The 12,251-nt window shown below is 46.0% G+C and overlaps 1 long non-coding RNA gene across 1 annotated transcript; it reads right to left on the bottom strand.

The window, feature by feature from the left end:
- Positions 1-4,926: 4,926 nt before the first annotated feature.
- Positions 4,927-10,783, bottom strand: LINC02072 (long intergenic non-protein coding RNA 2072). The gene is made up of 3 exons (NR_122104.1): positions 9,578-10,783; positions 7,774-7,891; positions 4,927-6,247 (listed from the first exon to the last, which is right to left on the bottom strand). It is a non-coding gene; the product is annotated as a long intergenic non-protein coding RNA 2072 (long non-coding RNA).
- Positions 10,784-12,251: the final 1,468 nt, after the last annotated feature.

Below are 12,251 nucleotides of genomic sequence, written 5' to 3'. Positions count from 1 at the left end.
CTTGCTTTGCCTGGACAATCAGGTCCCGAGGCCCTGAAAGTGCTGCCTACAAGCAACCTAGAGGCCTGCTGTCCTCTTCGGCCAGGTGGACACCTACACTCATGCCCTGTTTGAGGGAGCTTGGCATTATCACCCCTAATTAGCTCATCCTTTGAACTGACCTCTGAAAAAATGATGAGAAGGAGAGAGGAACACTGCCAAGTAGTTATATTTTTCCATGCTAGATGCTGAACAAACACTATAGCATTGAATCCTAACAAGCTTCTGAACTGGTGACTCTCCTGCCTCTCCCATTTTATAAGTGAGAAAACCGAGGTTCAAAAAGATTAAGGCATCTGCTCAAGGTAAGTAAATGGTAAGTAAACCCAGGTGGGTCTCACTCCAAAGCCCAAAATTCATTTAAATACAGTTTGAGGCAGGCAGAAGTTTCGTAGAAACCCTTTTCCCACTCTCCACATTTCACACAAAGCTGATGAAACATACATGCATTGGGAGCTTTCAGAGAACTAGCAATGTCAGAGCAAAGCACCCATTTCTTCACGAACACTCAGCTCTTGCTAGGTTTCCAAAAAACCTTAGTGCTAAGAACAACTCTAGAAGGAATGTTTCTGCCCCATCTGTGGACAAATGTAGAAAAACAGCCTCAGGGGTTAGCTTAGGATGTGAGGTTTTGGTTTTCTTTTAATGGCCATTTTTATAAGTGAAATGGAAGGAACTACACTTCCCGGAATAACAGAGGGGGAGTTTTATCATCCAGGATGTCTTGGAAGCTGCATGGGCCAGACAGAGCAGAGTCCATCAGAGACAGAGCCTCTGCCTTGTACGAAGCTGTGGTTCTGGTGCACCACCGGCATACCAGCGCGAGCAGGATCCACAACAGCCCTTTGTGTAGACAGGCTGTGAAAGCAGATGTCTTGGTTAATATTCTGCAGGGCTACTCCTGGGCTCACATCTCCTTCCGCGTGTGTGTTTGTTTGTGTTTGTGTGTGTGTTTTGTAAGATTCAATCACCCCTAGATGGGCAAATAACTATGAATCACTCCATCGATCCACAAAAGAACACAAAAAGGAAATTTACATGTAATGAATTCACTCCCAGACTCTGCACCAGGCACTAAGCACACATTTTCTTGTGTAATGCTCAACTTGCAAGGCAGACCCTCCCCCATCTGCTATCCCCAGTTTATAGATGAAGAAAGAAAGGCTCTGAGAGGTTAAGCCACTTGTATAACACCACACAGCTAGTCCATGGTCAAGCCAGGATCTCACCCAGGTCAGCCTGGCTGCAAAATGCACATCCATCTTCTGCACCATGTTACTTCCAAAGGGAAAGACATAAAGAGAAAAATGAGCAAACCCTAAGGGGTCCCAACTGCATGCATAGTGTCTGTGCTGGCTGCCTTCCACATTCAGTCCTTACAGTGATCCTGCAAGGTAGATCCTACCATGCTCATTTCACAGATGAGAATGCAAAGGCTCAGAAAGATTTAATAAATTGCTACAAGATCAGCCATGATCTGAACCTAGAAATACCTGACTCCAAAGCCTGGGAGCTTTCCATCACACCATCAGTACTCATTGACACAACTCTGCCCTCTTCCCCAGGCCTCCACCTCCACTGCCCCACCCCTCCCCAACCCACTTCAGGAGCACTGACCCAGGGAGGTAAAAGAGACAGACTGGGAGCTAGACTGGCTGTTTGGGCACCAGCATAGAGTGGGTTTGGGGGATCAGTGTTTGTCTCAGCCTGCTACGGTGAGTAAGGGTGGATTCTGGTGACAGTAGGAATCATTTTCACTTATGGAGCAGTGTGTGTGCACTGGATGAAGGAGGGGCTTGGGCGAAGGAGAAAGCATATTTGTTGCCTCTGGCCCAGTTACTGTGTTCATGCAATTACAGTGGTCCCATCTGTAAAGTGGGGTCAACCCAACAGTCCTGACGCACCTCACCCTGCAGGTGCACAAGTGGAGGAGAGTTGGTTTCCGGAGAGAGCAGCACGCTGAGGCAAATGCCTTTGGCCCAGAGCTAAAATCATTCAAGCACCAAGTAGCCAAAAGAAGTCACATGAGACTCTACAGGCCCATCCTATGTATTCACCTTTCCTATTCCACTCTCCCTTCCTCTTCGTTCTAAAAGATTCACTCATGTTACATTATAACCTCTAGTTTGTTTATTTTTGCCTAGATAAGAACAAATTTGCTTTTTAGGGGGTCAGATTACATTATGTAATTCCAGTTTTAGTTTGCTATAGCTACATCCATTTAGGGAAGCCTCTTAGAATAATAAAACATGGGTTTGCTTGTTTGTTTGTTTGTTTGTTTTGAGACAGAGTCTCACCCTGTTGCCCAGGCCGGAGTGCAGTGGCGCGATCTGGGCTTACTGCAACCTCCGTCTCCCAGGTTCAAGCGATTCTCCTGCCTCAACCTCCCGAGTAGCTGGGGTTCAACCTCCCGAGTAGCTGGGGTTACAGGCATGCACCACCACACCCAGCTAATTTTTGTATTTTTAGTAGAGATGGGGTTTCGCCCTGTTGGCCATGCTGATCTCGAACTCCTGACCTCAAGTCATCCACCCGCCTCGGCCTCCCAAAGTACTGGGATTACAGGTGTGAGCCAATGTGCCTGGCCAATAAAACATGTTTTAAGGAAATGTTTCAAAAATGAGTCTCCATGCTCTTCCAGGAAGCAAGAGGTCGCAGCCTAGTGCCCTGTCTCGTCCTGTGTTCCCTCTGATCCCTGCACAGCAGGCTGCCATGCATCGTTACTCTCATCATGCATCCATTTATGCATTCCTTCCTTCATTCACTGAAATGTACTTATTTATTTATTCATTCAACGCCTACCAAGTATCGGTTGCTTGGGAAACACGGTCATGGATGAGCAAAAGTAAGCACTGTCCTTCTCATAGAATTTAGTGTCTAGTGGAGGGGAAATGAATTAATATGTCACGTGCAAAAAAAAAAAAAAAAAACAGTATCCCTAAAAAACATGATAAGGGCCTGGAAGGAACAGTACATGATACTTTGAGAGCAAACAACAGAAAGACCTGACCTGGTTGAGGGTGCAGTGGCTCATGCCTGTAATCCCAGCACTTTGAGTGGCCAAGGTGAGCAGATCAACTGAGGCCAGGAGTTCAAGACCAGCCTGGCCAACATGGTGAAACCTCCATCTTTACTAAAAATACAAAAATTAGCCGGTGTGGTGGTGGGCACTTGTAATCCCAGCTACTAGGGAGGCTGAAACAGGAGAATCTCTTGAACCCCGGAGGCAGATGTTGCAGTGAGCCAAGATCACGCCACTGCACTCCAGACTGGGTGACACAGTGAGACTCTGTCAAAAAAAAAAAAAAAAAAAGAAAGAAAGAAAAGAGAAGAAAATTTGAGGTGTGGCCTGAGGCACAATAGAGCTAGGCATGGTGGTGCATGCCTGTAATCCCAGCTACTCGGGAGACTGAGGCAGAAGGATGGATTGAGCCCAGTAGGTCAAAGCTGCAGTAAGCTATGATCACACCACTTCACTCCAGCCTGGGAGATAGAGTGAGACCCCATCTCAAAAAAAAAAAAAAGGAATGGGGTAGAAGGGGAGTTCCAGATATGATCAGATTTGCATTTTTATAGTGGGGAGAGTCAGGGGGGTAATTTTCCTACAGGGTACAGTGTTCACTATTTGGGCAATAGGTACACTAGAAGCCCAATCCCCACCAGTATGCAATTTGCACGTGTAATAAACAAGCATAGGTACCTCCCTGAATCTAAAATCAATCAATCAATAATAAAAGATCCCTGGCTGCAGGTTGGCAGTGGAGACAGTGCAGGCTCCAGGGCATGTGAGGAGAACAGATGGGAGAATGTTACAGAACTCCAGGAGAAAAGTGATGCTGGCTTGGACTAGGGTGGTAGCTACAAGTTGAAGAATAATGGGCAGAGTTCAGAGCTATCACAGCAGTATCACTGACAGATTCAGTGACTGGAGGGTGAAAGGAGGAGGCAGGCATCAAGATTGACTCTTGGTTTTGAGGCTGCCTAATGGGATGGCTGCGGGTGCCATTCATTGAATTTATCACCCACGGAGTGCCCAGCACAGTGCCCAATGCCATGAGCCACACAAAGGGAGCACTGGTCTTGGACCCTTCCCCTGTGTCCATGCCTTACAAAGGCCCGGGTTTGATAATCTCTCATACAAACCCATCCAAGCCATGAAATGATTCCACGTGAAGGCTGTCATAGTTCCCCTGGTGGTGCTTTAAACCCTGGTCACAGTGAATTCCGCATCCTCTCCATCCCAGAAGATGCCAGGCCTCATTCCAAACTCAGTGGCAAAAAAAACAAAAAACAAAAAACAAAAAAAAACAGGCATGGCTCCTGCACTGGTGTAGAAGTGAACTTGAACCTTCCCTCCCAAAAACCCAGGTGTCCACCCTGACCCACAGTCCCTCTTGCAGCCATTGTCACAGACTCTTCGGCTGGGCTGTGACCTGGCTCTTGGTGTCCATTCTGTCCTAATTTTCAGCAGCTTCACATACATTTCCCACAGCCCCCATCTCAGTCGTGCACCTGGTGCCTGCATCTGATGACTGAATTTGGCCCTCCTGCTTTAAATCCTGCATGCTCTAAGGTCAAAACCCTGTCCCCCATCAGGTTCCTTCCACCACCCTGAAGGGCAGGCTTTTAGCACTAAAACACTAGGAAGACAGCAATTAAAAGCCCTAGGACAGAGGGCACCAATGCCTCGGTTTAGGGTTTTCGTTCGTTTTGAGGGAGAACAGTTAATGCATAAGAACGTGATAATTACCTAGATGCTTGAAGATTACCAGAAAGCAGGAATAAAAGGGGTTAGAATTTTTCTGTGAAGTCACCATCACAAAGAGAGGTAGATTTCCTCCTGAAGGAAAGCTCACCGGGTTGTAAAAAAAAGACCAAGCTTGAGTCACCACTTAACTGTTTAAGTAAGTGATATCAGACAGATCAGATCACGAGTTTGGCCTCTCTCCCCTGTAAAGCAGAAAATAACATCCACCCAACAGGGTCATGATGAGATCTAAATGGGGTCATGGGAACCACAAGGTGCTGTACACAGGTAATTCTTGTCACTGCCAGCAGGTCTGCAAGGCTCATTCTAAAGCCTGAATCTTCACATTCACTTTCTCTAGACCTGTTTCCTCTGCCCTCTGTTCAAAGAGGTCTTTTGGTCTGCAGAAGGCTTCCCTAGGGGCCTCATGGGTACTGTCCCTCTTTTTTCTCATCCAGAGGCGAAGGGAGTGATGCATTCAGGCCCCAGAATTTCAGCCCAGTGGGCACCCTCCCTGCCAGTGCCCCCAACCCTATTCATTATTCCATCAATAAATATTTAGTGTGGAACTTTGTATTGGGCACTGTTTGGGGTGCTGAAGGTATAGAAGTAAAAAAAAATAACACAGTGGCCAGGCAAGGTGGCTCACGCCTGTGATCCCAACACTTTGGGAGGCCAAGGTGGGTGGATCACCTGAGGTCAGGAGTTCGAGACCAGCCTGGCCAACATAGTGAAACCCTTTCTCTACTAAAAATACAAAAAAAGTAGCTGGGCATGGTGGTGGGTGCCTGTAATCCCAGCTACTCAGGAGGCTGAGGCAGGAGAATCGCTTGAACCCGGGAGGCGGAGGTTGCAGTGAGCCAAGATCGCGCCATTGCACTCCAACCTGAGCAACAAGAGCAAGATTCCGTCTCAAAACAAAATGATAAATAAATAAATAAATAAATAACACAGCACCTCTCAAAAAGCCCATAGTCATGGGGAAATAGCTAGGTAAACAGGCAAGTGTTCTATGAAAAGGTATGTACCTTTAGATAAGGCAGGTGCTTGCATAAGATAAAAAGGCAACAGTGAGGAGGAAGATTTAGCCAGAAGGAGCCCACCCAGGAGGCTCACAGAAGAGGTGAAGCTTGAGGAAGGCATAGAACAAATGCAGTCAACCTGAGATCTTCTGGGGTCATGAGCAGGACAGAGATGTGGAGGAGAGGAGGCCTTTCTTGAATCAAAGAAAGCCATATTGGAAAATAGAAAGAATTTTCCGCTTCTGCCCTTCTTGTAGTGTTTTCCTGCCAGGTCACAGAATTTTTCATCACAGTGGAATCAAACATTCTTGGATTGGAAAGTGAGACAGCTCACTCATGCATGTTCTTTTAAAAGCATGTGACAATAAAACCAGTGACCTGGTTAACATCCTACATGGGTTGTCTTCTTTTCTTCTTTCTTCCTTTGCTTCCCTTTTACCTGAAAGGGACAAACATGATGTATACCACCACCATTCATAAATTAGGCAGCCACAAACCCTGAGCTGAGCAACTTTGGGGAAAGTATAAACTTTTTTTTTTTTTTGCAGTAATCACATGCATATGATAATCCAGGGACAAAGAAATTAGCAAACTCTTCCAGTTACACTCAAAACTCCAACCCTGGCATTTACTTGAAAATATTAAGTACCTTCAAGGCAAATCATTGAAGTGGCTGAGAAGTCTCTACTGCAACATTTAATGATGCTTATAAATCCTAAAACCCTCATGGGACCATTCCTGGCTGGTAATGGAACAGTGTTTGATGTTTCTGAAATTTTGAGTGTTTAATTATGTCTAACAAAGTTGGTTATCAATAAAGTGTGCATCCATGTCTGAACTCAATCCATCTTTTCCTGTCATTTAGGATGACTGGGAATCAGTTTGAATGGGGTTAGTGAGCTTTTTCTGTAAAAGCCCAGTTACTACATATTTTTAAGCATTGCTGTCCACAATGTCTCTGTGAAAACTATTCAACTCTGTCATGGTGGGGCAAAAGCAGCCAGAGGTAATCCATAAGTAAATGAGCAGATCTGTGTTCCAATAAAACTTATTAATGGACACCAAAATTTGAATATCAGTTTTCATGTGTCATGAAATATTATTATTCTTTTGATTTTTTTAACCATTAAAAAATGTTAAAAGGTCAGGTGCGGTGGCTCATGCCTGTGCCCTCATTTAATCTTCACCAAGGGCTTCTGATTATTCATTTTATTTTATTTTATTTTTATTTTTTTGAGAGAGGGTCTGGCTTTGCTGCCCAGGCTAGAGTGCAGTGGTGCAATCTCGGCTCACTGCAGCCAAGAAGGCCAAGGCTGGAGGACCACTTGAGCCTAGGAGTTCAAGACCAGCCTGGACAATAGTTTTTCTATTGATTTAATTTATGCTGTCAGAATTTATTATAACACTGTATATCAACTGTAGAAGTAAACATTTTAAAAAGTTTAATGCAGTAGGACTGCATTGAATGATTGTTATAGATCAGAATAAAGGAAATTTCTAAACTATGATTTAGTAGGTTAAATGTTGCTTTTATATTTATTCAATATTTATTCAAGACATATATTGACCACCTATTACGTGGTAGGCCCCTTACTCCGTACCGAGTATTCAACTTATATTTAATACCAAAGAAAGGAAATAATATTGAGAATATAGGCAAAATTATATCTTTCAAATTAAAGAAGTGCTGTTATCCACGGAATAGTTTCTCCATTTGTTTCAGGGATTCAGCTTATAAACAAAAGCCAGAGTAAGGAAATAATATCTAGAATGTGGAATAAATTACATATTTAAAATAAAGAAATGTAGGCTGGGTGTGGTGGGTCACGCCTGTAATCCCAGCACTTTGGGAGGCTGAGGCAGGCAGATAACTTGAACCCAGGAGTTCAAGACCAGCCTGGGCAACATGGTGAAACCCTGTCTCTCCAGAAAATACAAAAATCAGCTGGGCATGGTGGTGCTCACCTGTTTTCCCAGCTACTTGGGATACTGAGGCAGGAGGATTGCTTGAGCCTGGGAAGCCGAGGTTGCAGTGAGCTGAGACTGTACCACTGCACTTCAGTCTGGGCGACACAGTAAGACGCTGTATTTAAAAAAAAAAAAAAGTTATACTCAATGGATAGTTTGCCATTCAATTTAAAAATAACCTTGTCTCTACAAAAAAAAAAAAAATGTAGCTGAGCATGGTGGTGTGTACTTGTAGTCCCAGCTACTTCGGGGCCTGAGGTTGGAGGATCACTTGAGTCCAGGAAGTGAAGGCTGCAGTGAGCAGAGGTTGTGCCACTGCACTCCAGCCTGAGTGACAGAGCAAGACCGTCTCAAAAAGAGGAAAAAAAAATGTAAAAACCATTCCTAGATCACAGATCACACAGAAACAGGCAGTGTGGTGGATTTAGCCTGCAGTCTGTAGTATGCCGACCCCTGATTTTGAATGTTTGGGCTGCACTGGAAGAGTATGAAGAACATAAACTTAGACTTCCACAATCCTTACACCTGGGCAGCCAAGCAAAATCCTTAAGCTCCCTGGGTCTCCATTTCTTCTCTCTAAAATGAACAATCAGGCCAGACGTGGTAGCTCATGCCTATAATCCCAGCACTTTGGAAAGCTGAGGCAGATGGATCTCTCGAGCTCAGGAGTTGGAGACCAGCCTGGGCAACATGGCAAAACCCCATCTCTACTAAAAATACAAAAAATTCGCCAAGCGTGGTGGCATGTGCCTATGGTCCCAGCTACTCTGGAGGCTGAGATGGGAGGATCGCCTGAGCCCAGGAGGGAGAGGCTGCAGTGAGCCAAGATTGTGCCACTGCACTCCAGCCTAGATGACACAACCAGACCCTGTCTCAAAAAAATTAAAAGAAAAATAATAAAATGGGCTGTATGCAGTGGCTCATGCCTGTAATCCCAGCACTTTGGGAGGCCAAGACGGGCAGATCACCTGAGGTCGGGAGTTTAAGACCAGCTTGGCCAACATGGTGAAACCCCGTCTCTGCTAAAAAAAAAAAATATATATATATATATATATATATATATATTTTAGCTGGCATGGTGGCACACGCCTGTAGTCCCAGCTACTCGGGAGGCTGAGGCAGGAAAATCACTTGAATCTGAGAGGCAGAGGTTGCAGTGAGCCAAGATCACACCACTGCACTCCAGCCTAGGTGACAGCAAGACCCTGTCTCAAATAAATAAATAAATAAATAAAATAATCGGAGGCTCTTGATGAAGACTAAATGAGGTGATATATGTATAGCAGAGAGATGTTCAGGAAGAATCCAGAAGGTTCAAGCTCAGGAGGGATCTGAGTGTTCTGTAAATGCCAGCTCTCTCTCTCCCCTACTTTCTAAGTGTCTTACTACCAGTGTTTTTTGTTTAATCCTCTATCTTTGTATCTAATCTTCCCTTGTAGCAACTGATTAAGTAATGAAGCATGAGAACAGATTTGCTCCTAACAGGAGGAAAACCAGCCCCGTCCCTTGTTGACTTGAGCCCTCCCAGGCTGACACTTTTCCTCTTGGTGTGGGTGGCCTAAGCCCGGTCCTGGAGGGCTGGGTTTTAACTACTATTAAATATCAGGGAGAAACTAATGAAGCCACAATTGATTAATCAAGCTGGATCCCATCTCCCTGTGAAAGTGCCCCATTAGAGATTCAGGGTCTCTTTGAGGGGATTTACAGCGGCTGCAAATATCAGTGGCAATTATATGCATCTCATCTTTCTTATCAAGCAGCCACCTTCTCCTCTCCCTCCCTCAAGTGCCCCAAGGCTTACCAATCACAAGCACCACAGGTCACAGCATCCTCCACCAGACTCGGTGTGTCCCATGGGCTGGGTAGTGGTGAGGGAGCATCTCTCCCCAGCATGAAAGGAAAATCCCAGAAGAAGTAAGGAAGCCAGAGCTTCCTGAGAGCTGGAGAGTGGAATCCAAGTGGGATCTTCAAGATCACCTGAAGCTGATTCTTTCTAACTGTGAAACTATCCAGAAGTTATTTTAAAGAGGTATGCTCTGACCTACTGCTTCTTGAAGAACAGGATCAGAAATCCTCTCATTTCAAATGCTCCATATCTGTATTAGTCAAGGTTCCCCAGGCAGACAGAACCAGTAGGATATATGAAAAGAAAGGTATTAGGGGGCATTGGCCCTTGTGATTACAGAGGTGGAGAAGTCCCATGATAGGCCATCCACAAGCTGGAGAATCAGAGAAGCCCGTAGCATGCCTCAGTCCAAGTCCAGAAGCCTCAGAATCAGGGAGGCCAACAGCACAGACCTTCGTTGGAGGCTGAAGGCCTGAGGGCCCCGGGAGGCCATTGGTACAAGTCCTAGAATCCAAAAGCCAAAGACCCTGTAGTCTGATGTCCAAGGAGAAAAGGCATCCTGCTCCAGAAAGGTGGGAGAGAGAATCCTCCTTCTTCTGCCTGTTTGTCCCCAGCCTGGCCTTGAGCTGATTGGACAGTGCACACTCACACTGAGAACGGGTCTCCTTCTCAGCCCGCTGGCTCACATGTGAGTCTCCTCTGGAAACACTCTCACAGACACACCCAGGAATGATGGACGCCACCAGCCACTGAGGCATTCCTCAACCCAGTCAAGCTGATACCCTAAAATTAACCATCACAGTCTCAGATCTTAAGAATGCCCAAGGACATCTATTCCGGCTGGCCAGTATGCTAAAGTTGATTGGTGCCATTGGGAAGAGCTGATGAGATGCACTAGAGATGACGCAGCTTTAGAGTTAGGAATCGGTGTCCAGATTTCTGCCTCTTCCTGCCTTCTGATGCTGAACTTGCCTCTCTGATCCTCAGTATCTAAACCTCTAATGCCATGGGAAGATGGAGATCATAGCTCCTAATGTTAACCAAGGAGACAGCATCTGTTGAGCTTTTGGGTTTTCCTATGAGTACTTCTTCCAGGAAAGCCCATCAAACCTTCCTCTACAAAGGTTTATTCCTCCAGTGAGCTCTGCAAGGGCAGAGAGTGCCTCGTGCCCCTCACTATCCCTAGCAGCCAGCTGGGTGCAGGACCCAGCAAGTGCTCAGTAAGCATCTGCAAAGCAATGACAGCATGCCTGGAATCTACTGAGAGAAGAAATCAAATGGCCATTGTTCACAGTTGGCCAGGTCTGCCATAACAAAGTACCACAGGCTGGGTGGCTTAAACAACAGAATTTATTTTCTCACAGATTGGGAGGCTAGAACTCTGAGAGTTGGTTTCTTTGGTGGCCTCTCTCTTTGGCTTGCTGTGTGTCCACATGATCATCTCTCTGCCTGTGTGTTTTCTGTGTCCTAATCTCTTGTAAACACACCAGTCATATTGGTTAGGACCCACCACATGAGCTCATTTTATCTTAATGACATTTTTAGTGGCCCTATCTCCAAATACATTCACATTCCAAGGTACCAGGGATTAGAACATCAATATGAATTTTAGGGGGACACAGTCACTGCCTACATCCCCATCCTTCTGCTTTGCCCTTGTAGCTTCGCTTCCTGGGTTCTCCATGCAAGGCCAAGGGTGGAGACGCCACACCTGGATACAGCCACCTCAGAACCCACCATTCAGAAAGGCCTCTGCAAGTGACTTGGATCCCTGACAATTACTCCCTTGTGCCTCTGACCACGTGTCCTTGTTCCTAGAAGCAAGCATGGGGTAGCTGATAGGACCTCTTGTAGATTCCGCTATGTCCTCTTCTCCATGGGCAAACTCTTTACCTTCTTGAAGGCCTGTGCTCTCACCCTTCACCCCCTCAGCCCCACCTTGGTCCACCACTGCAGGGTCAGACCCTCCTGGACCCAACACCAGCCTGAAGTCCACAGACCCCGGCAGAGACACACCCCTTTGGTGTCAGGCTCCCACTGCCCTGACTACTGGTTTGTCCCTGGCCCCTGAGATTCATCTGCTCTCTTTATCTCCTGTCCGTTCACCTGCACTCCTCTGCACTGGGATAAATTTTGAAGAGCTAACTAGTATGTTTTCCCCACCATCCATTTTTTCCTAGTCAGCCCTCCCTACCACAGCTTCTCTTACATCCATCCCCCGTGCCCGCCACATCTTCATCTGTCCCAGCAGAAGGGGAGGAAGAAAATCTGCTTTCTGCTGATCACACCTTCTTCCCAAATCTTTCTACTTTATAACTGCTTCTGTGGCTCTGGAACTTAATGGGTAATAATTTGCCACCTCTTTTCTCTGTTCTGCCCAATGCTGGTCTCCTCGCTGGTCTCCTCCCTCTTGGGGAGAATCAAAGGGCCTGGATAAACAGGGCGTGTGCAGAAACCGCACTGATGAGTTTCTTACCCACCACCCTCCCTGCCACACACACATCTGAGGGCCTTGGTTTCTGATCCCACCTCACTCCCTTGGCCCCTGTCATGGGCTAAATGTTTGTGTTTCCCAAAAATTCATATATTGAAATCCTAACCCCCAAGGGGATAATGGAGGTGGGGCCTT

The sequence above is a fragment of the Homo sapiens genome, chromosome 17, assembly GCF_000001405.40.
Source record: "Homo sapiens chromosome 17, GRCh38.p14 Primary Assembly".
Taxonomy (NCBI): Eukaryota; Metazoa; Chordata; class Mammalia; order Primates; family Hominidae; genus Homo; species Homo sapiens.
The sequence above is the reverse complement of the archived record's forward strand: the minus strand, read 5'-3'. Positions and strand labels throughout refer to the sequence as shown.